The sequence below is a fragment of the Homo sapiens genome, chromosome 15, assembly GCF_000001405.40.
Source record: "Homo sapiens chromosome 15, GRCh38.p14 Primary Assembly".
NCBI lineage: Eukaryota > Metazoa > Chordata > Mammalia > Primates > Hominidae > Homo > Homo sapiens.
In genome coordinates this window covers 65534777-65559982 of record NC_000015.10, presented here as the reverse complement: position 1 = coordinate 65559982, position 25206 = coordinate 65534777, and the positions used below count along the sequence as shown (strand labels likewise).

Genomic DNA, 25206 nt, shown 5'->3' with positions numbered 1-25206 from the left:
GTTATTTCTTCAAAACTACAAAAATCTATTACACTTCCCCACCATAAAGAACTTCCTTGTTCAGAAAACTTTATGAATTTAGGTAAAACAGTTAAAGCTTTACCTAACACCCAAAAAATCCATATATTAGAATTTTTATCTATTTTTGAAGTTTATCCCTTTAAGACACCAAAACATTAATTTAAATCTCAAAGTGGCTTTTTTATGTTGTTATTCTTTGCCTCCACTGAACCTCTCCCCTCCTCGGCTTTCCTGAAAGAATATTCCCCTAAGGTAGTCGCTATTCAAATATTTTTTAAAATTCCTTCTCAAAAGAAACCTTATTCGGAATGCCAACACATAACACTCAAAAGAGAGCTGCTCTGACTGAGGTAGACCTGTTTGTGTGATCTACTCCTCCAAAGCATCTCTGGGAACCCCCTGGGGCACCATGGAACACAGTTTGAAAACTACTGCTCCAAAACTTTCCCCTCCCTTATTTATGGCATGCTAGATAAGTACCACTAAAATTTGAAAAATTTCAACTTAGAACAAGTAAGAAGGACTTATTTCATTCTGCTTTTCAGAGGTAGTTTTACATACACCTGCAGTTCCCTCACTAAGAATGTAAGCCCTTTTGAGTATAGGCGCTACGATGGATCCCTCTGGCTCTTAGTCAAGGGCCCAGCACAATGCTTGCCACACAGCATGACTTTAACAGATAGCTGCTGAATTTAATCTAACTACATCACCCAGAAGATAATACACTTACAGAGCTTCCTGCTTAAAGTGGTTAGACGGAAACAGAAATTGATTTGTTAAAGGTTAATGAATAGCAGGACTACACAGAATACTCTCCATCTTTCAGGCTGACAACCACACTTATGTATCATACAGCCTTTGAGATTTCAGCTGGGAGAAAAACACCAGGCTGAAGGAGTGTAGCCTTGGATCCATGCAATCATTTCCACAAGTCTCTGCAGGATTTGGTTGCCATCTGCCATGAGGCCAGTCCAGGAGTTCTTTCATTCTGCTACACTAGCCTTGGTGTACTCATGAAATAACAACCAAAACACAAAGGACACATTAAAGGTAAGGATTCTGACGTGGGTAGTGCAGACCTTAAGCACTGGACCTAAAAGCTTTTTCATAAACTCACCCACACAGCTCACCGGGATGAAATCATTAGCTCTCCTGCCACATCACAATTATCCATACTTCCAACACTAGCACAAGTTAACTGGTAACTACCATGGCAGCAGCACAACTTACTTTCAGGAGAGCCTTCGCTTTCCAGTCGGAGTTTATTTAGGCGCTCTTCTTCCTAGAATTTAGACAAAAGTTTTCCAAGAACACAAGTTAGAATTCCCAGATGCTTGCAAAAGTCCATATGCTGGCTGAGTAATCTGACTCCCTCAAAGCCAACTCCTCCAGTTGGGGTCAGTGCATCATTGGGAGAATATTCTAGGTCATAGGGCCAAACGCCTGACTCCTGCTTACTAAGCAGCATTAGCATCACAGGTGCCCATCCATTGTTCACAAAATTAACCCAGTGAGCTGGCTTCCAAACTGACAAGTGACCTTGGAATCTTAAAGCTGGAAAGGACATCCAGAAGATCTGTCGCAGTCAGAGAAATAAAACAGAAGTTTAAGGCAGGAGGTAGACTGCTATTTTATTTTTCAAGACTTCTAGAATTTTAGTATAATTTTTCCAGAAGCTAAGATCATGTTTCCAACATCACTATGAACTCACGTTTAGCTTAACAGAGATACAGATGGATCCATACAGAAATATTTACAGGTGTATGTGTATGCATGGGTTACTATCCAAACATATATTTTCTTGTTCTGTCAGTGAAGAGAACTTAAAGGCAATGGCAACCTGGTAGCAATGAGCATACCCGGCACCCAGATCTTGGTTTCCAATGCTATTCCACAATAAGAACAGAGATGCTTGAAGAAATGGCTGTTCCAGGGCTGGAGCAGGAAACATACATGCAAGATAAGCCTGGAGCAGCTTATACTGCCAGAAAGTAAGGAAGTGCTCAAAAAAAAAAAAAAAAACAGTCCCATAATGATGGCGCTTTCTCAAAAAGATACAAAAGCCAAATGAAAGATGGGCAGGATGAGGACATAACCAAAGGCCAGTTAGTGCCAAAGCTGGAAGAATTTGAGCAACAAAATAAATAATATTAGATTATAACTCAAAGTATAAAATAAATACCCATGTACTCACATGATATAAATGATTGAATAAATAAATGGGAGACAATAGACATGCATAATTATTCTCCTATGCAGAAGAATTCCAAATAAATTATGTAGATACTCCCTCCATCTAAAGGACAGGAAGCATAACTCCCTGCTCCTTAAATGTAGGCTACACATAGTGACTTCCTTCCAAGGAGAGCCAAGAGGAAAATAACCTTATGGTAGAGAAACCTGATAAGCGTCACCTCAAGCCAGCTAACCCATGGTTAATATCAACAGTGATGTGTCACGTTGACAGTATGTACTTTTTTTTTTTTTTTTTGAGACTCTCGCTCTGTTGCCCAGGCTGGAGTGCAGTGGCGTGATCTCGGCTCACGGCAAGCCCCGCCTCCCGAGTTCACGCCATTCTCCTGCCTCAGCCTCCTGAGCAGCTCCGACTACAGGCATGCACCACCACGCCCGGCTAATTTTTTGTATTTTTAGTAGAGACAGGGTTTCACTGTGCTAGCCAGGATGGTCTCTATCTCCTGACCTCGTGATCCACGCACCTTGGCCTCCCAAAGTGCTGGGATTACAGGCGTGAGCCACCGTGCCCGGCCGTATGTACTCTTGATATGATGTGATAAGAATTGCACTTTACTTCAGTGGTCTTCTCCTCAACATCTATCACCTTAGTCTAGTTGTAAGAGAAACATCAGACAGATTTCAACCGAAGGAAAGTCTATAAAATACATAGCCAATACTTCTTGAAAATCACATCACCAGGTCTTTAAATGAATTTGTAACTTTGTAGCTATTCTTTCAGACCGAGAGGTATCTGAAGTGGCCTGAATAACGTGGGTTCCCCATGATTTGTCCTCAATGGCTAGATCCTAGGATCCTTACTAACCTTAGCTCTGAGCTCCATTTCCGCATCAGATTCATCCAGCCAACGATCAAAGTCAGGAGCCAAAAACAGTGGTCGCTTTTCCTGCTTTGTGAGTCTCTCCCACCACTGACTCACTTTCTTCTGTACTGTAATGTTTACCTGCCTCTGGGTCAGTTTGTAAACAGGCTAGGAGAGAAAGTGAAAATGTGAGAATGCCCTCTTCTGTTCCCTGAAGCAGCACCATGCCAGGGGCGCCGTACATAGAAGCTGCAGGATATATTTATTCTCCTTCTTTCTCTGGTCCTGCAAGTCCTGATGCAAAGGGAACATCTAGACCAGGGGTCTCCAACTCCTGGGCCATGGACTGATACTGGTCCATGGCCTGTTGGGAATCGGGCCACACAGGAGGAGCTGAGTGGTGGGCAAGTGAGTGAAACTTCACCTATATTTAGACTCGCTCTCCATCACTTGCATTACTGCCTAAGCCCTGCCTCCTGTCAGATCAGCATTGGCACAAGATTCACATAGGAGCGTGAACTCTATTGTGAATTGTGCATGCAAGGAATCTAGGTTGCTCACTCTTTATGAGACTATAATGCCTGATGATCTGTCACTGTCTCCCATCACCCCCAGATGGGACTGTCTAGTTGCAAGAAAACAAGCTCAGGGCTCTCACTGATTCTACATTATGGTGAGTTGTATTCATTATATATTACAATGTAATAATAACAGAAATAAAGTGCACAACAAATGTAATGCATTTGAATCACCCTGAAACCATCCCCATTCCACCATCTGTGGAAAAAGTGCCTTCCACAAAATTGGTCCCTGGTGCCAAAAAGGTTGATCTAGACCAACGGCTGGCATGGAGAACTGGTAAGGACATAATGTCCTTCTCTGATTCCCCCAGTGAATGATACAGGAGGATATCAGGATAAGAAAGGCAAATAGTTCCTGGTTAGGCTGGAGGGAACTAGCATGAACCTCCTGCCACAGCCACATCATGCAAGGTACTATGTCCAATCACCCTCTCAAGGGTACTGCATCCAATTACCCTCAGCTTATAAATTTTCCTCCCATGAAAATGACTGTCCTGGCTCAGCAGACCCCGGTTTTAGAAACACCTGCATCAAGATCAGAACTGTATTGGATCAGTTACAGATTTTTTCACAGGGGTCAATTTGGGGAGTCTTCCCAACTAAACTCAAATTCTTATAGGCCATTCCAGCTCATTGTTTGTCTACATGTCCTGTCCCTTTTCTCCAAAGGAAGCTCCATGACAGGTTCTCTGCCCACTGTACCACTGGTTATTATTCATGCTTTCTCAAAACAACTGAGCACCTGCGCACGGAAATCAAGAAGCTCAAGCCACCAGAGCTAAGTGTAATTCCAGAAGCCAAAATACCCCATCTATTGGATTCTCTCCCTGCTTATGAGAGAAGCTTCCTCAGGCTCTAAGGGAAGGGAAGTTTTGATGATATCTGCAGCATTCTTTCTGAAGGCCAGCTGCCTTCACCCTTTCTGATTTCTATTTTTCTCACCTGCAACTGTGGCAAAGTCACATGAAAGTAACCCCTGGTGGGGGCTTCAACCACTCTATGTAACTCTGTTCTCAATGGGTGCCATATTCCTCTGCCATCACTAAAACCAGAGAATATCAGAGCTGGAAGGATCACTTAGTCCAGACCTTCATTTAACACATGAGAACACCAGAACTCGAAGAAGTTAAGAGACTTGTTCAAGATCACACTGCTAATAAATGGCAGGGCCCTGACTCAACTTGGGGTCTCTGACTTTCCCATTCCTCTGCAGCTAAAACCTGGGCTCTGTTCCAAATAAAAGAACTCTATTATTCCCCTTTGGTTTTTATCTTCTTCTCTCCACAAACCCTGCTCCCCATTTCACTAAACTACTGGTATTCATTTCCTAAAATGGGAAGGGAAGTGAGAAAGGAAAGAACATACCTCTGGTTTCACAAGGTCTAAGAACTCCAGGTGAAATTCATAGACATTGTCTCCTTTGGCACCATGTCCTTGAGCTATAAAGAAAGAAATGTGGGTTACTGCAAACTTGAGCAGAGCAAGGCCATCCAAAAGCCAGCTTGGTGCAGTTCTTTCCCAAGTATGCGAATATTACACTTTTTTTTTTTTGAGACAGAGTCTTGCTCTGTTGCCCAGGCTGGAGTGCAGTGGCATGATCTCGGCTCACTGCAAGCTCCGCCTCCCGGGTTCATGCCATTCTCCTGCCTCAGCCTCCCGAGTAGCTGGGACTACAGGCTCCCGCCACCATGCCCAGATAATTTTTTTTATTTTTAGTAGAGACGGGGTTTCACCGTGTTAACCAGGATGGTCTCGATCTCCTGACCTTGTGATCCACCCGCCTCAGCCTCCCAAAGTGCTGGGATTACAGACATGAGCCACTGTACCTGGCACGAATATCATACTTGATTGTAGCCAAAAGGCCAAGAAGCATCGTAGTCCACAAATCTTAATGGGTCCTGTTAAAATGTGTGGGGGCTTGTGCGCAGAGCTCCTCAACAGCTAGATAGGCCAAATCTTTGACACAAGTTTATCTCCATATGTCCTCTGATGTCAGTTTTGGCGTATTTACCCAATCTTCCACTGTGACCCTGATGATACCCCACACAAATAACAGGCAGGAAAAAGAATAGAGAAAGCAATGCCAAAGGAGCCACACGGATATAAATTTAACTTTCACAATTACTTTGGCTCTAAATCTAGAGCAGACAAAAATTGGTGGGTGTATCATCTTGACTGCAGGGTACATGGAAATGCTGGGTTGTCTTGGACAGCTCTGAATCTAAAACCTCCCAACCAGGGAGAGAGAATGAAGGCAGAAGCTGACTCCTCCTTTAGCACATCCCAAATGGAACAAGGAAAAAGAAATACAATCTTTCGCAGCTTATGAAGGACAGGTGGAACTAGGAGGGAAGTACCTGAGTTGGCCAATGCCCCATCCCTATGCCTTGACATGGCTCCTTTCCCCAATTCTAGCTGGCACCATGCCTAGATGCCAGTGACTGCTGGACCCAGCAGCTGCTGCTGAACCACCCTTCCACTCTCCTCTCTGATTCATTTACCATTTGGTTCCCTTCTGGGACTCTCTTTCCTTATCTGATCATATGTAGACTAATAACCTGCCTAATATTCGCTACAGGTAGCAATTATTCTCTGTGACGATAAATTCCTTAAGGTAGGACAGTATATAAGGTCTAAGTGGCAAGATATGCTTTTATCACTTTAATTTTCATGTAAATGTATATAATTCCCAAAAAACCTGAGCTGAGTGGTGACTACTCTCATCTTGAAAAGCAGATACAAAAGCCAGGCTGTACTTTCATGCAAGTATATTACAGTAGATGGAATTTCACATAAAGCAGAAACTCTTTATGCTCCAATAATCCCAGGAACTGGAACAGAGAGCAGAGAGAATCCTACCCCACTGGGTGACAGTGAATGGAAATCCCACCCTCTCCAGTAGAGCAGTAAATCTGCTGAGGGACTGAGGAGAAGGCAGATAGAGGCAGATTCACAGAATCAGAGACTGTCAGAGCTGAAAAGGCCTGAGACATCATCTAGAGTGTAGTGTTTCTCAAACTGGTCTGCTAATCTAGTATCAGGGAGCCACAAAGTCTCATCAAGAAAATTTCTTAGGAATAGTGAGAAGGGATGTAATAAATAATTATTATTTTTTTAAATGTTTAAAAAGAAAAATATGTGCTCACTTCGGCAGCACATATACTAAAATTGGAATGATACAGAGAAGATTAGTATGGCCCCTGTGCAAGGATGACACGCAAATTCGTGAAGCGTTCCATATTTTTATTAAGAAAATGTGGCACATATACACCATGGAATACTATGCAGCCATAAAAAATGATGAGTTCATGTCCTTTGTAGGGACATGGATGAAATTGGAAATCATCATTCTCAGTAAACTATCGCAAGAACAAAAAACCAAACACCGCATATTCTCACTCATAGGTGGGAATTGAACAATGAGATCACATGGACACAGGAAGGGGAATATCACACTCTGGGGACTGTTGTGGGGTGGGGGGAGTGGGGAGGGATAGCATCGGGAGATATACCTAATGCTAGATGACGAGTTAGTGGGTGCAGCGCACCAGCATGGCACATGTATACATATGTAACTAACCTGCACAACGGGCACATGTACCCTAAAACTTAAAGTATAATAAAAAAATAATAAATTTAAAAAAAAAAGAAAAATATTTAAAAAAAACAAAAACAAAAACAAAAAACAAAAAACAGGCACGGTGGCTCACGCCTATAATCCCAGCACTTCGAGAGGCCGAGGTGGGCAGATCACTTGAGGTCAGGAGTTCAAGACCAGCCTGGACAACATAGTGAAACCCTGTCTCTACTAAAAATACAAAAATTAGCTGGACGTGGTGGCGGATGCCTGTAATCCCAGCTACTCGGGAGACTGAGGCACGAGAATCACTTGAACCCAGGAGGCGGAGGTTGCAGTGAGCCGAAATCATGCCACTGCATTCCAGCCTGGGTGACAGAGCAAGACTCAATCTCAAAATAAATAAATAAATAAATTTTCTATTTTATGTTTCCATAATAATTTTTTTTTAAAAAAAGCAGCATATTCTGGATCATCTAGATGGCCACTTCATAATCAAGTACTGCCATGCAATCAGTAGCTGTATGTGTGTCTGTATTCACAGCTGCAGTGGAGCCAAATATCACTTAAAGTGACCATATTTAATTCTTCACGTTTCTCAATCTCGGGTCCATGAGCCCTTGAGAGTCCTGTGGAAACATTATTTGGTGTCCACGGGTCCTCGAGTTTGAGAAACACAGATTAAAACCCAGCATCTTCATTGTACAGGTCCAGAGAAGTCAATAACTTGTCCAAGATAGCGGCAGAATTAGAGCTAGAAGACACGTCTCCTGATTTCTAACCCAGGATTCTTTTTTTTTTTTTCCTTCACTGTATCTACTGCCTCTCCATGGGGGAAACAGGATTTTAAACCAATTCTTTGACTTTTCTAATCATATATTTCAAAACAATTTAGCTTACCTCATGAGGATCAGAGGCGTGAACATCAGCAAAAAACAAGTAAGACAAATACATTTTTTTAAAAAAGGGAAACCACCACCACACCTCCTTAACTGTGTATAGAGATGGGAGCATTTGCTGGGATACTGACCTTTGAAATGCAGCACGTTTTCAGTGATGCTGATGGCAGGGTTCTGTGAAAAGAGACCAAGGATGCAAGAAGGCATTTTAATGAAGAGAAAAAATGAGATTAAACAAGGGGCTTCTTCCCCTCATCCCTCTCCCATAAGGACTCAAACTCCTACTCTGTGCCTCCCCCAGAAATATATTTAGTCATTTATTCACATCTCTGTAGGCTTTCTCTATGTCTGTCTGTACCTATCTAAGACTGCAGACTCCTGCAAGAAGGACCCTAACCTGCTCTAACTGTGCAAACAATCAAGTACTGAATTAGTCCATTCTGAAAATGGCCAGTCATGCAAGGTGCTATGTGAGATATGACACGGGAATACAGAGATCTCCAGGACTCAACCCCTGAGCTGTAGAACAGAGGATCCAGTGGGACAGATGAGGCACTTTCTGTGAGAAGATATCAAATAGTTATTAAGAAACATATGGTCAAGACGAAAAGGGTGGTAAAAGGCAGTAAGTGTTAGCAGAGTTAGGAGAGAGAGAGAGCACAACAGGAATAGAGTGGTGGGGAAAAGCTTCACCAAAGGTGAGACCTGTACTGCAACCTGAATGATAAATTAATTCCAACAGGTAGAGGGAAGGGCAGAGGATTGCAGGTGGTGAATGAAAATGAAACACGCTGTGCCTGTGTCTCTAACTTAGAGGCTCCAGACTCTCTTAACCCCCAAAGGAAACAAGACTCGGGAGAGGTCAAAATTCTCCAGACTGCTCATTGATTCCCAGAAGTTGCTACATACCTTCAATTTAGCATCATAATGTAAAGTGAAACTACTTAACACTTTTTCCAGTGGATGAGAAACAACCCAACTCCTACTTCCAGCTCAAGGTTAACAAGCAAGAGGCAGCTCCTTCCCAGTGTCACGGTGTTTGTTTTTCTTCTGTGGGCTTAGCTTTCTGTGTTCCCCAACTACAGCTGTCATCTGACCACAACCTCATGAGATTCCAAGCCAGAACAACCCAACAGAGCCCCTCCTGAAGTCCTAACCCACAGAAACTGTGAGAGACAATAAACGACTATTGTTGCTTTAAGCCACTACATATTGGGTGATTTGTTATGTAGCAACAGATTAACAAATAATTATTAACTGCAATTATTTATTTAAATGCTTGGTAGAACTTCCAGGTGAAGCCATTTAGACCTGCAAGTTTCCCTGTGGGAAGATTTTTGACTACTGAATCCATGTATTTAATGGTTATTGGGCTATCCAGGTTTTCTATCTCTTTTATAGAAACTGTCTTTATTTCTTGGAATTTATCCATTTTATCTGATATGAACTTGTTTAATATTTTCTTTCTTTTTTTTGAAAAATTCACCCAGGCTGGAGTGCAATGGCTCAGTCTCGGCTCACTGTAACCTCTGCCTCCCAGGTTCAGGCGATTCTCCTGCCTCAGCCTCCTGAGTAGCTGGTATTACAGGCGACTGCCATCATGCCCGGCTAATTTTTGTATTTTTGCAGAGACGAGGTTTCACCATGTTGGCCAGGCTAGTCTTGAACTCCTGACCTCAGGTGATCTGCCTGCCTCGGCCTCCCAAAGTGCTGGGATTACAGGCATGAGCTACTGTGTCCAGCCTAGATGCATATAACTTAATATTGTTGTATCTTCCTGGTAAACTGAAACCTTATCATTATGAACTGCCCTTTCTATCTCTAAAAATACACTTGTGCCTAAAAGTCTATTTTGTGTGATATCAGCATAGCTACTACAGAGGATCGATCTGCATTTGCTTCTGCCAGGGACCTAGGGGTCCTACCAGTTGAGGCCACTTTAAACTAAATGCATGGCTTGAGGGTTCTCAAGTTTAGAGTTTTGGTTCTCCTAAATTGTGTGAATTTGGGCTACATAACCTTTGAGAGCCAACTTACAGTTTTAACTTCTCAAGGACCTTTTCTTCTATTAATACTTAGCTAAGTGTTAAGGCAACTGGAGACAGGCAGATGGAATGGGCTTATTTCTAGTTCATCCTAACCCTAAGTGTATAGTCCTCTCTGAAATACGGTTTATGGAGAAGATTTCCTATTACATGTTACACCTTTGGTGGGTCTTGGGCTTTGATCTTTTTTTTTTTTTTTTTTTTTGAGATGGAATCTCGCTTTGTCACCCAGGCTGGAGTACAGTGGCGCCATCTCAATTCACTGCAACCTCCACCTCCCAGGCTCAAGCGATTCTTCTGCTTCAGCCTCCCGAGCAGCTGGGATTACAGGTGTGCGCCACCACACCCAGCTAATTTTTTTTTTTTTTTTTTTTTTTTCCCAGCAGAGATGGGATTACACCATATTGGTCAGGCTGGTCTCAAACTCCTGACATTGTGATCCGCCCACCTCGGCCTCCCAAAGTGCTGGGACTACAGCTGTGAGCCACCGCACCAGGCTGGGTTTGACCTTACTTCTATTGCCTGCGCCCTGTTGGGCTGTCAAAACCAAAGTTCAAGTTCACTTAGTTGAGCAAATGTTCGCAAGGCAAAAGCAGTTTCCACGTTCAGCTTATCTGAGTTCCCAATTTCATTTCTACCGTGTTAACTTTTCGATGTTTTTAAGACATTTTTATTCAACACTTTTAGTTGTTTTTATTAGAAAGCTCAATCTACACAACCTAGCCCATCTCTTACAAGAAAAGAAACTGTGCCTTTGCTTATGAAAGGAGGAGTGAACAGCCAGGCCCGGTGCCATGCACCTATAGTCCCAGCTACCGGGGAGGCTGAAGTGGGAGGATCACTTGAACCCAGGGGTTCAAATGCAGCTAGGGGAACATACATAGCAAGTAGTCAGACCCTGTCTCTAATTCTTTTAAAAAATAAAAAGAGAAAGAGAGTGGCTGGGCAAGGTAGCTCATGCCTATAATCCCAACACTTCGGGAGGCCTACGCAGGAAGATCACTTGAGCCCAGGAGTTCAAGACCAGCCTGAACAACATAGACCGTCTCTACAAAAATAAAAAAATTAGCCAAGTGTGGTGGCACATGCCTGCGGTCCCAGCTACTTGGGAGGCTAAGCTGGGAGGACAACTTGAGCCCAGGAGGTCGAAGCTGCAGTGAGCTTTTATTGCACCACTGCATTCCAGCCTGGATGACAGACTAAGACCCTGTCTCAAAAAAAGGAGTGAAGAGGGAAAAGGGAATACGAAAATTTTCAAATCATCTTAATCATCTTTTTTTTTTTTTTTTTTTGAGACAGAATCTCCCTCTGTCACCCAGGGCTGGAGTGAAGTGGTGCAATCTCGGCTCACTGCAGCCTCCATCTCCCAGGCTCAAGGATCCTCCCACCTTAGCCTCTCAAGTATCTGGGACTACAGGTCCACATCACCATGCCTGGCTAATATCTTTTTTAAATTTTTTGCAGAGACAAGTCTCACTATGTTGCCCAGGCTGGTCCCGAACTCCTGGGCTCAAGTAATCCTCCACCTCAGCCTACCAAACTGCTGGGATTACAGGCATGAGCCACCATGCCCAGCCATAATTTTAAAAATAACAATAAAATCACTTACATCACAGGTCTGCTGTAAGGATTAAGTTATAATAGCACACACAGACCCTGGCAACTAGTAAGAATTCACATTCCAGTTGCTTTTTTTCCTCTGACTAAAGTGCCCATCTAAGTTTCCATGCCTGTTGAACACTACTTCTCTTTCAAAGTTCAGGTCAAATGTTAATTCCTGTTCTCTCCTCCTCACCCTAACATCAGAATCAACAGTTTCCTTCCTACTTTGTATTCACCTTTACTATAATACTTATCACACTGTTCCACAATCATTGTTGATCATTTAACTGCCCCTCTTGACCTGACTTCTTTGATGGCAGGGACTGTGTCTTATTCATTTCCATATACCTAATGCCTCAATAACTGTTAAGTGAACTGAAATCAATTCATCCCATTTTCAGAATCTCTGGCAGAACTACAAAGAGTTCACAATAAACTACCTGCTATCTAACCCTTTAGACAAGAGTTTCCTTTCTCATTCAAATCATTAGTATTTATCTTCAAATTTATGTGATTAGTATGTGTGCAGAAGAGTTAATATAGCAAGCCTGAGGCTGCAGTCTTTAAAAGGGCCTGCTTCCAAGATCAGCCTTTGGCTGGCATCTATCTAGAAACTCGGCTTTCCTCCATCACCTAACTAATAAGGGTGGTCCAATGTTCCTAAACTGTGCCTACAAACAATGTGATTTATGGTGAATATCAACTTTCCTTCTAGGAGCCTGAAATTTTGGTACATGTTAGGCAGAGGTTACCTAAGTAACAAGCCCCAATAAAAATCATGGGTACTTGGCCGGGCGCGGTGGCTCATGCCTGTAATCCCAGCACTTTGGGAGGCCAAGGTGGGTGGATCATGAGGTCAGGAGTTCGAGACCAGCCTGACCAATATGGTGAAACCCTGTCTCTACTAAAAATACAAAAATTAGCCAGGCATGATGGCGTGCGCCTGTAATCCCAGCTACTCAAGAGGCTGAGGCAGGAGAATTGCTTGAACCCAGGAGGCGGAGGTTGCAGTGAGCCGAGATCAGGCCACTGCACTCCAGCCTCGGTGACAGAGTGAGACTCCGTCTCAAAAAAAAAAAAAATCCTGGGAACTCAATCACTAACGGGCTTCCCTGGGCAGAAAAGTTATACATAAGTCATTGCATTTTTCGTCGCTGGTGGAGTGTGCTCAAATATACCCCCTCACAGGAGGAAGAATGATAAAGAGGCTTATACGTGGATTTCTCCAGACTCCACTTGTGCTTTTTTTCCTTTACTGATCCTGTCCTGTATTCTCCAGCTGTAACAAACCTTAGTCATGAGTACAATTATATACTAAGTCCCATGAATCCTTCGAGCAAATCACTGAGCACACTGGTGGCTGCCGGGGAACCCCAAAACTCTGTGTATTTTTAATGTGATCCTTTTCACCCCAATGTTTTATTTTGAAAACATTTAAATCTACAAAAAAATTGAAAAACTAGGCCAGGCATGGTGGCTCACACCTGCAATCCCAGCACTTTGGAAGGCCAAAGCAGGCAGATCACTTGATGCCAGTAGTTTGGGACCAGCCTGGACTCCAGCCTGGGTGACAGAGCAAGACCCTGTCTCAAGTAAAAAAAGAAAAAATAGTATAATATAATGAAAACTCATATACCTTCTACCAATTGATTGCTAAATGTCATATTTGGTTTTTTTAGGGTGGGGGTAGCCTCCATTCTACAAAATATAATGAAAGCTCCCAATATTTGCCTTTTATATGCATAGTTTTTTGCTGAATTATTTCAAAATGAGCTGCAGACATCATACTTAACCTCCACATATTTCCTCTCCTAAGAAATTATATTATCTTGTATAATTACCAAAGCTTTCTAATACCTAAGAACAATAATTCCATATTATCTAATAAAAAATCTACATGAACAATTGTCTCAAAGATGTTCAATTGTTTTTGTTATTTACTGTAATGCACGCAACCACTCTAAAACTTAACTTAAAACAACTATTTTATTATCCTACATGATTCTACAGGTTGACTGGGGCTCAGCTATATAGTTCTATTCCATGTGATGTTGGCTGGGGCTATAGTATATTGGGCTGGAACATTCAAGACGGGTCGCTCACTTAGCTCATAATTGTTGCTGGTTGTCATTTGGTAGTTCAGCTAAGACCAGAATAACTATATTTGGCCACTCCATGTGGCTTGGGTCTCCCGCAACAGGACTGCTCAGTTCCGAGAGGGAATGTCTCAAGAGCAAGTGGTCTAAGAGAGAAGAAGCGGAAGCTGGCAGTTCTCTTACAAAGAGTAAGCCTGGAACTGGTCACAGCATCATTCTCCAGCATTCTATTCACTAAGCTGCCAGAGGGCCTGCCCAGATTCAGGGAAAGAAGAAATAAATTGCGAATTTTGATGGCACTCTTGATGCAGTTATCCTGAAGCCACTACATTTACACTTTAAAAAAATCCAGAATCGGCCACGGGTGGCTCACGCCTGTAATCCCAGCACTTTGGGAGGCCGAGGCGGGCGGATCACAAGGTCAGGAGATAGAGGCCATCCTGGCTAACACGGTGAAACCCTGTCTCTACTAAAAATACAAAAAAAAAAAAAAAAATTAGCCGGGCCTGGTGGCAGGCGCCTGTAGTCCCAGCTACTCAGGAGGCTGAGGCAGGAGAATGGCGTGAACCCGGGAGGCGGAGCTTCCAATGAGCTGAGACACTCCAGCCTGGGCGACAGAGCGAGACTCCGTCTCAAAAAAAAAAAAAAAAATCCAGGATCCAATCCAGGTTCATGCATTCCTCTTGATTGCCATGCCTATTTTTATTTAATACAGACTTACACTTTTATTTATTAGCCCATGCCAATTGTCTTGTAAAATGTATCATATTCTGGATTTGTCTGGCCATTCCTTCATATTAACCATTTTTAACAAAAATATTTCATAGGTGATATGGTTACTTATGGCATCCTTATGTTAAGAGGGTGACAATAAATTTGATCATTAAATTGAGAAGGTGACTGCCAGAACTTTCCACTGTAGTGTTTCCTTTTGTAATTAGCAAGTTACCTAATAATGTAATCTGCCATTCCCTCACAACACTCTTTCATCCAATGGTACGGTCAACCATTGTTAATCCTTACCTGATGCAATTTTACACTGGAGGTCACAAAATTATAATTTTCTTTCTTTCTTTTTTTTTTTTTTTAGACAGAATTTCCCTTGTTGCCCAGGCTGGAGTGCAATGGTGCCATCTCGGCTCACCGCAACCTCCGCCTCCCGGGTTCAAGCAATTCTCCTGCCTCAGCCTCCCGAGCAGCTGGGATTACAGACACGTGCAACCACGCCCGGCTAATTTTGTATTTTTAGTAGAGACAGGGTTTCTCCATGTTAGTCAGGTTGGTCTCAAACTCCCGACCTCTGGTGATCTGCTGGCCTCGGACTCCCAAAGTGCTGGGATTACAGGCGTGAGCCACCGCACCCGGCAACATTATAATTTTCTAATTCAATCATTCCTTTTTCATTTTCTAGTTGGCATTCTTCTGTAAAAAGGAGTTTTCCCTTTTTCTCCTCTCCCTTTTTTTAATTGAAATTTTTATTGAGATATGGATTCACATGAAGCTCTAAGAAATAAATATACACACCTACTGTGTACCCACAAAAATAAAAATTTTTAAAAAAGAAATAGTACTGAGAGATCCCTTGTACACTTTTCCTAGTTTCCCCCAATGGTAGCATTCTACAAAACTATAGTATAAAATCAAAATCAGGATACTGCCATTGACACAACCCACCTATGTTATTCAGATTTCCCAGTTTTACTTGCATTCGCTTGCAGGTATGTGCATGTGCGTCTGTGTGTTAAGTTCTATCCAATTTGATCACCTGTATAGGTTCATCTACCAACTGTCACAGTAAAGAGACTGAACAGCTCTAGATCCCTCATGATGCCTTCGCAAACACCACCAGCCTGTACCCTCTCTGGTCTATATTTCTTTTTTACTTTCACTATGGGCTCACGGATTTTCTTTTTATTTTTTTCTTTTTTTTGAGATGGAGTCCCGCTCTGTCACCCAGGCTGGAGTGCAGTGGCGTAATCTCGGCTCACTGCAAGCTCCGCCTCCCGGGTTCACGCCATTCTCCTGCCTCGGCCTCCCGAGTAGCTGGGACTACAGGCGCCCACCACCAGGCCCGGGTAATTTTTTTGTATTTTTAGTAGAGACGAGGTTTCACCATGTTAGCCAGGATGGTCTTGATCTCCTGACCTTGTGATCTGCCCACCTCGGCCTCCCAAAGTGCTGAGATTACAGGTGTGATCCACCACGCCCCGCCGACTCACAGATTTTCTTTTGTGATCCACTCAGCCAAATTCCATTACCATTATTACTCTTGTTGATGTTCAAATTGTCACAAACTTGGCCAGTAGAAATCCCTTCAAATCAAGTCCTGTATGATTCTGACATGACCGTGTAGCTTTTGAGGATACTGTTCTTTTTCTGGCACAGATTTGGAATAATTGGCCATTTTTTCAAGGAGGCATAGTTTCTTTGGTTGGAAATGGTAATGTAGAAGCCATGATCTAAGTACACTGAGGTATAGTCAATGTTCATCTTTCAGTGGGCTAGCTAGGAATTTAAAAAACGATGTCATAGTGAAGTTTCCAATTCAAGCTCTTACAAGGCTTCTCCCTACCTTGTTATTTAAGATTTATATCTTTTACAGTGAAAAGCTTCCTAATAACATTAGTACATTTATATATTTGTTTTATCCCAAAAAAGTTTCAGAATTAGAATATCAATATTTTTTACCAACAATAAACCTACTAATTACTTGCAGAAGTTTCCCTGTGGAAAATAAGAAAAAAGAAAATTTGTATTCAATTTAAAAAAAAAGAAAAGGGAGAAATAACCCTTGTAAGTGTAACATTTAATTGCAGTTCTTTTTGTCCTTAGAATATATTCCACTAAAAGGGGGGAAGGTTGATTTTTAAAAAGGACATGATCTACTAAAGTACCAGAGTACTGTGTTCAAATATTATGTGTATTGATTAATTTATCTGTAAGATTTTGTCATCAATTTGATACACAGTTAGGTCCTTTTGGTTCTGTTTATTTAATTTGCTTTTTTCTTTTCTTTCTTTTTTTTTTTTTTTTAGAGAGACAGAGTCCCACTGTCGCCAGGCTGGAGTGCAGTGGCACGATCTCGGTTTACTGCAACCTCTGCCTCCTGGGTTCAAGCGATTCTCCTGCCTCAGCCTCCTGAGTAGCTGGGATTACAGGCACATGCCATCGCACCCAGCTAATTTCTGTATTTTTAGTAGAGACAGGGTTTCCCCATGTTGGCCAGGATGGTCTCTATCTCTTGACCTCGTCATCTGCCCGCCTCAGCCTCCCAAAGTGCTGAGATTACAGGCATGAGCCACCAAGCCCGGCCTGTTTTTTTTAAGACAATTTTATCTTTGAATATGTAAAACATTCCCATTGTTCAAAATTCAAACTTTATAAAATGATTTCCTCAGAAGTCTTGCTCCCAAACCCATCCTCCTTTACCACATTCCTATTCCCCACATACCGGTAACCATTTCATTCATTTCTGGTTTATCTATTCTCTGTATATGCGTGTTTTGCAAAAATTTGCAAATATATTTAGATATTCTTATTTTCATCCAGGCACAGTGACTGATGCCTGTAATCCCAGCACTTTGGGAGACCAAGGTGGGTAGATCGCTTGAGCTCAGGAGTTCAAAACCAGCCTGGGCAACATGGTGAAACCCTGTCTCTACAAAAAATACAAAAATTAGCCTGGCGTGATGGCATGTGCCTGTAGTCCTAGCTACTTGGGAGACTGAGGTAGGAGGTTCACTTGGGCCTGAGAGGTGGAGACTGCAGTGAGCCAGGATCACACCACTGCACTCCAGCCTGGGTGACAGAGTGAGACCCTGTCTCAAACAAACATACAAAACAGATATTCTTTTCTTTTCTTTTTTTTTTTTTTTTTTTGAGATGGAGTCTCACTCTGTCGCCAGGCTGGAGTGCAGTGGCATGATCTCAGCTCACTGCAACCTCTGCCTCCCAGGTTCAAGCGATTCTCCTGCCTCAGCCTCCCAAGTAGCTGGGACTACAGGAACATGCCACCACGCCCAGCTAATTTTTGTATTTTTAGTAGAGACACCGTTTCACCATGTTGGCCAGGATGGTCTCGATCTATTGACCTCGTGGTCTGCCCACCTCGGCCTCCCAAAGTGCTGGGATTACAGGCGTGAGCCACCGCACCCGGCCAAAACAGATATTCTTATTTTCCCTTCTTTCTATACAAAAATTAGCATACAATATACATTCTTATACATCTTGCTTTTTTTTTCACCTAAATAAATCCTTATCAGCTCATAAAGACCTTACTCTTTCTTGTTATAGCTGTATAATACTCAATTGGGTGTATGTAAAAGTTTGTATCATCTTCTAATTCCCCCTTTTGGGGACACAGACAATTTCAAAGAATACCAACCAACTTGAGGTTACTATGAGACCATGGTAAAATTAAACAAAACAAGACCATTGCATAAATTTGTCTAATGACAGGTCACTATGCCAACCACAAAATACCAAATCATAGAACTGTCCCTGCTTTCTGTCAACATCCAATCTATAGCGGACCCCACTTCCTTAGACACCCCCGCCATCACATAATCAAAGCCCAAATCCTATATAACAAGGTCTTTTTTAACACCATCTTACTGAGATACCACATGTTTCCCTACGATGTGTGTTTTCCCTCACTGGAACAAGCAATAAACCCAACTTATTTAACTACAAGGTGTGTTTTGGTGATCTTTGGCTGAACAGCATTAACAGTTTAAATAAACTCTCAGAGAGCTCTTTCAATAAATTAAAAATACTCAAAGTAATAAGAAAGCTTGTATCACAGTATAATCAGCAGCATTTTTCCCCTCATCATGAGGGAAAAAAATAAAATAGTGGTGCATTTTACAATCAATTAAGTCTAAGATACTATAAAATTCTATTTTCACCCAGACTACTGCCCTGAACTCTGTATTTGTATAGTTATATCACTAGTTCACATTTTCACATGGAAATTGTTTATAACAAGACTCTCAAACTAGTATGTCCAAAAGGGGACTCTTGATTTTGGCCCCTAAATCTCTTCTCCAGTCTTAATCATTTCAGTTGTCATCTACTCTGTGCTTAAGTCAAAATCTTAAGACTAGTCATTAATTCTTTTCCCTTCCTCTCCAACGAGTCCATCAAGGCCTCAAGGTTCTCTTCAGATATATCTCAAATGTGTCCATGGCTTTCCACCTCCACAACCCTAAACTGAGCCACCTCATCTCTTACCCATACTACTATAACAGCCTCCCTAAATGGTTTTCTAGAGTTCACTTTTGCCCCTTTATAATCCACATAGCAGCCAGAATAATCTTTTTTGAAACACAAATCCTACAAAGTCACTTCTCTGCTTAAAACTCTTTAATAGTTTCCCATTGCTCTTACAATAAAACCCAAGCTCCTTACCATGGCAACAAGGCTCTACATGACCTACATCTTGCAAACCCTTCTATCCTCATCTCCCTCTAACTTATTCCTCACTACACTCCAAACATACTAATATCCTTTCTGCTCCTGGAACCCCACTAAGCCTTTGCCTGCCTCTAAGTCTGTGGACTTGTTGGAATGTTCTTGCCCCAGCTTTCTGCACCATTTGTTTTAACTTTCAAGTTTCACCCGGCTAGAATATCACCTCTTCAAGGAAGCCTTCCCTGACCACTCTATTTAAAATAGCCTCTACCAATTATTCTCTATTTCATCACCCTCTTTATTTCCCTCATAGCACTTTATCTAGGTAATTATTTATTAACATATCTATTGTCTGTCTCCCTCAATCTGAAGGTAGTGCCTTTATATGTGTTGCTCATTACTGAATATCTAGTACTTAGCACTGTGCCTGGACCATTGTGAGTGGTCAACAGTTACCAGATTATTTAACTTACTGCTTTATAAGTAGTTTTTGTACTGTGGTAATAAACAGCTTAGACTTATTGATTTCTATTATTAAATATTTCAAGCAAAATCAAACAGAAAAATATAGCAAACACCACTATATCTAACATCCATTAGCATTTTGCTTTATTTGCCTCAATTTTTAAAAAAAGAAATAAAACAGAAACAGATACATTATACAATTTCTCAATCCCAATGCCCTCTCCCTCAAACATGCCCCAACTTCGCAGGTAACCACTACTCCAGGATTGGAGTTGGTCGTTTCCACTGTATTTATTTATTCATTAAAACACGTTGGGCATTCACAATATACAGTATGATTTGACATGTCACAAAAATAATTTCATACTGCCTATATCATTCTTCAACTTGCTTTTTATTTGATATTATATTTCTAAGCTTTAATTCTATAAAGATGGTTCTGTTTCATTCATTGTAGCTGTTGTACAGTGTGCCATTGTATAAATATACCACAATTTATCCATTCTTCCAGCTGACAAAAATTGAGGCTGTTTTCAATTTTTTGCTGCAATGAACATTCTACCTCCACCTGCATGTGTAAGAGCTTCTCTAAAAAGCAAAACTTCCAACTCATAAAGACATACAACTTCAGCTTGACAAGATAGTGTAAAACTGTTCTCCAAATCAATTGTACCAATTAGTACTTCCACCAACTGTATAAAAAAAGTCCGGCTGGGCACGGTGGCTCACGTCTGTAATCCTAGCGCTTTGGGAGGCCAAGGCAGGCAGATTACTTGAGGTCAGGAGTTCGAGACCAGCATGGCCAACATGGTGAAACCCCATCTCTACTAAAAATACATAAATTAGCAGGGCATGATGGCGGGCGCCCGTAGTCCCAGCTACTCGGGAGGCTGAGGCGGGAGAATCACTTGAGCCCAGGAGGCGGAGATTGCAGTGAGCCAAGATTGAGCCATTGCAATCCAGCCTGGGGTGACACGGTGAGACTCCATCTCAAAAAAAAAAAAAAAAAAAAAAAAAAAGTCCTGTCACTGAACATTCTCAGAAACACTTGGTCATGTCAGGCTTTTTCAATTTTCCTACTCTAATGTGAGAAACAGTATCCTATCATTTTAATTTACAGGCATACCTTGGAGCTATTGTAGGTTCTGTTCCAGACCACCACAATAAAGCTAATATCACAATAAAGTGAGTCACACAAAGTTTCTGGTTTCCCAGTATATATAAATGTTATGTTTATATTATACTATAGTCTATTAAGTATGCAGTATTATTCTAAAAAACAGTGTACATACCTTAACTTTAAAATATTTCATTGCTAAAAAATGCTAATGATCATGTGAGCTTTCAGGGAGTTGTAATCTTTTTGCTGGTGGCGGGTCCTGCCTCAATGTTGATGGCTGTGGACTGATCCAGGTGGTGACTGCTGAAGGCTGGAGTGGCTGTGGCAATTTCTTAAAGGAGGACAACAATGAAGTTTGTCTCATTGATTGAGTCTTTCCTTCACTAAAGATTTCTTTGCAGCATGCAATGCTGTTTGATACTGTTTTACCCAGAGAATAATTTCTTTTAAAATCAGAGTATACTCTCAACCCCTGCCACTGCTTTATTAACTAAGTTTATGAAACAGTATAAACCCTTCATTGTCATTTCAACAATGTTCAGAGCATCTTCATCAGAAATAGATTCCATCTCAATAAATCACTTTCTTTGCTCATCCATAAGAAGCAACTCCTCATCCCTTCAAGTTTTATCATGAGATTGCTGCATTCAGTCACACCTTCAGGCTCCACTTCTAAGTCTAGTTCTCTTGCTATTTCTACCACACCTGCAGTTACTACCTCCACTGAAGTCTTGAACCCCTCAAAATCATCCATGAGGGTTGAATTCCACTTCTTCGAAACTCCTGTTCATTTTTATATTTTGACCTCTTCCTATGAATCACAAATGATCTTAATGGTATCTAGAATGGTGAATCCTTTCCAGAAAGTTTTCAATTGACTTTGCCCAGATCCATCACAGAATCACTACCTACGACAGTTTTAACCTTACGGAAAGTATTTTCTAAATAAGACCTGAAAGTCAAAATTATTCCTTGATCCATGGGCTGCAAAAGGAATGTTATGTTAGCGGGCATGAAAACAACATTAATCTCCTTGACATTTCCATCAGCACTCTTGGGTGGGACTAGGTGCACTGTCAATGAGCAGTAATATTTTGAAAGGAATATACATATATATATATATATATATATATATATATATATATATATATTTTTTTTTTTTTTTTTTTTTTTTTCTGAGAAGTTGGCCTCAACAGTGGGCTTAAAATATTCAGTAAACCATTCTGTAAACAAATGTGCTATCATCCAGGAGTCGTTGTTCCACTTACAGAGCATAGGCAGAGTAGATTTAGCATAATTCTTTTTTTTTTTTTTTTTGAGACAGAGTCTCTCTCTATTGCCCAGGCTGGAGTGCAGTGGTGCGATCTCAGCTCACTGCAACCTCTGCCTCCCAGATCCAAGCGATTCTCCTGCCTCAGCCTCCCAAGTAGCTGGGATTAAAGGCGCCCGCCACCATGCCCAGCTAATTTTTTTTATTTTTTAGTAGAGACGGGGTTTCGCCATGTTGGTCAGCCTGATCTTGAACTCCTGACCTCAGGTGATCCACCTGCCTCGGCCTCCCAAAGTGCCGGGATTACAGACATGAGCCACCATGCCCGGCCGATTTAACATAATTCTTAAGGGCCCTAGGATTTTCAGAATGGTAAAGGGGCACTGGCTTCAACTTCAAGCCACCAGCTGCATTAGCCCCTAACAAAAGAGTCAGACTGTCCTTTGAAGCTTTGAGGCCAGGCATTGACTTCTCTCTAACTATAAAAGTCCTCCACGGCATCTTCTTCCAGTAGAAGGCTGTTACATTGAAAATCTGTTGTTCAGTGCAGCCACCTTCATCAAGGATCTTAGTTAGATCTTCTGGATAACTTGCTGCAGCTTCTACAATCAGCACTTGTAGCTTCACCTTGCACTTTTATGTTATGGAGCCTTTCCTTAAGCCTCATGAATCAACTTCTGCTAGCTTCAAATTTCTCTTCTGCAGCTTCCTCACCTCTCAGCCTTCATAGAATTGAAAGAGTTGGGGCCTTGTTCTGGATTAGGCTTTGGCTTAAGAGAATGTCGTGGCTGATTTATATTCTATCCAGACCACTCAAACTTTCTTCATATCAGCAATATGGATATTTTGCTTTCTTATCATTTGGGTGTTCACTGGAATAGCACTTTTAATTTCCTTCAAAAATTGTTTCTTTGCATTCACAACTTGGCTGCTTGGTGCAAGAGGCCTAGCTTTCAGCCTGTCTCAGTTTTGACATGCCTTCCTCACTAAGCTTAATGATTTCTAGCTTTTGATTTAAAGTGAGACATGTGCAACTCTTCACTTTAACACTTAGAAGCCACTGTAGGGCTTGTTTGTTTGTTTTGTTTTTGAGACAGAGTCTCACTCTGCCACTGGAGTGCGGTGGCGTGATCTCAGCTCACCCAACTTCAGCCTCCCAGGTTGAAGTGATTCTCCTGCCTCAGCCTCCTGAGTAGTTAGGATTACAGGCACCCGCCACCACACCTAGCTAATTTTTGTATATTTTTAGTAGAGACGGGGTTTCACCATGTTGGCCAGGCTGGTCTCCTGACCTCAAGTGACACACCCACCACAGCCTCCCAAAGTGCTGGGATTACAGGCATGAGCCATCACACCCGACCCCATTGTAGGGTTATTAACTGGCTTAATTTCAATATTGTTGTGTCTCAGAGGAGAGGCCCAAGGAGAGGGAGAGAGATGGAGGAATGGCCAGTGAGAGCAGTCAGAACACATACATTTATCGATTAAGTTCACCATCTTATATAGGTGCATTTCATTTTGCCATAAAACAATCACAATGGTGGCTGGGCACAGTGGCTCAAACCTGTAATCCCAGCACTTTGGGAGGCCGAGGTGGGCAGGCCACTTGAGCTTAGGAGTTCGAGACCAACCTCGTCTCTACAAAAAATACAAAAACTAGCTGGGCACAGTGGCACATGCCTGCAGTCCCAGCTACTTGGGAAGCAGAGGTGGAAGGATCACTTGAGGCTGGGAGGCGGAGGTTGCGGTGGGCCAAGATCACACCACTGCACTCCAGCCTGGGTGACAGAGTGAGACCCTGTCTCAAAAATAAATAAATAAATAATAAACAATCACAATAGTAACATCAAGGCTAGGCACAGTGGTTCAAGCCTGTAACCTCAGGGATCTGGGAGGCCAAGGCAAGAGGATTGCTTAAGTCCAGGAGTTCAAGACCAGCCTGGCCAACATAATGAGACCCCACCTCTAAAAAAATTAAAAAATTGAAAATTAGCTAGGCAGGTACCTGTAGTCCTACTTGGTAGGCTGAGCCAGGAGGACTGCTCAAACCCAGGAGTTCAAGGCTACGGTGAGCTATGATCACACTGCTGCACTCCAACCTGGGCAACAGAGTGAGACCCTGCCTCAAAAAAAAAAAAAAAGTTAACATCAAAGATCACTGATCACAGATCACCAGAACAGATATAATAATAATGAAAAAATCTGAACTATTCCAAGAATTAACAAAATACAACACAGAGACACTAAATGAACACATGCTGTTGGAAAAATGACGCCAACAGACTTTGTTGCCACAACCTTCAATTTGTCAAAACCGCATTATCTGCAAAGCACAATAAAGCAAAGCACAATAAAACAAGGTATGCCTGTACATGTGCCTGGTCATAATTGCAGTCAAGCATCTTTTCAGACTTATTGGTCATTCTTGTTTCCTTTTACTCTGAAATGTTTATATTATCTGCCCCTTTTTCTATTAGGTAATACGTCTTTTGCCTATTGGTCTGTAGGTGTTCTTTAAATAGTCGTGATATTAGTCATCTCTCAATGATATGCACTGCAAATGTCTTCTTCAAGTTTGTCTTAAATGTGCCAATCTTTGTCTTTAGGGTTTGTGTTTTGTGCATCTTGCTTAACACATTCTCCCCCTTTCCAATATTATAAAGATAGTCTCCTATATTTCTTTTTAGTAGTTTTTCTTTATGCGTTTAGGTCATTAATGCACCTGAAACTGATTTTTGTGTATGGCATAAGGCAGGATCTTATTTTCTTTTTGCCATTTGGATTACCAATTGTCCCAGTACAATTTCCTGAATGGGTCATTCTCTCCTCATTAATTTGTAAGAGCGCCTCTTGTCATACCTTAACTTTTCATATATGAATAGGTCTGCTAATAGGCTCTATTCTTCCATTGCTCTGTGACCATCCCTCTCATCTAAGGTTTAATATCGCAATCATCATAATCACTCACTTGAACTGCACACTAGAATTTGCAAAGCACTTTCAAATCCATTTTCCAATTCAAATCTCAAAATGGTCCTATGAGTTAGGCACTACTGTTCATAT

The 25206-nt window shown here is 41.8% G+C and overlaps 1 protein-coding gene and 1 pseudogene across 2 annotated transcripts in view, besides 1 other annotated feature; one reads left to right on the top strand and one right to left on the bottom strand.

The window, feature by feature from the left end:
- Positions 1-25206, bottom strand: part of HACD3 (3-hydroxyacyl-CoA dehydratase 3) — a 47887-nt gene that overhangs the window by 18367 nt on the left and 4314 nt on the right. For both annotated transcript variants that reach the window (NM_016395.4, NM_001411136.1), the window contains exons 2-5: positions 8265-8307; positions 5023-5096; positions 3080-3244; positions 1252-1303 (exon numbers count right to left, since the gene is read on the bottom strand). In NM_016395.4, the coding sequence (NP_057479.2) occupies positions 1252-1303; positions 3080-3244; positions 5023-5096; positions 8265-8307 (334 nt within the window). The remainder of the gene's footprint in view (positions 1-1251; positions 1304-3079; positions 3245-5022; positions 5097-8264; positions 8308-25206) is intronic.
- Positions 6796-6901, top strand: RNU6-19P (RNA, U6 small nuclear 19, pseudogene; annotated as a pseudogene).
- Positions 19246-19446: a silencer, noted in NCBI's record as "peak2372 fragment used in MPRA reporter construct". NCBI's record gives its function as "represses an SCP1 promoter by STARR-seq MPRAs in K562 erythroleukemia cells {active_cell/tissue: K562}" and the evidence as "EXISTENCE:reporter gene assay evidence [ECO:0000049][PMID:32103011]".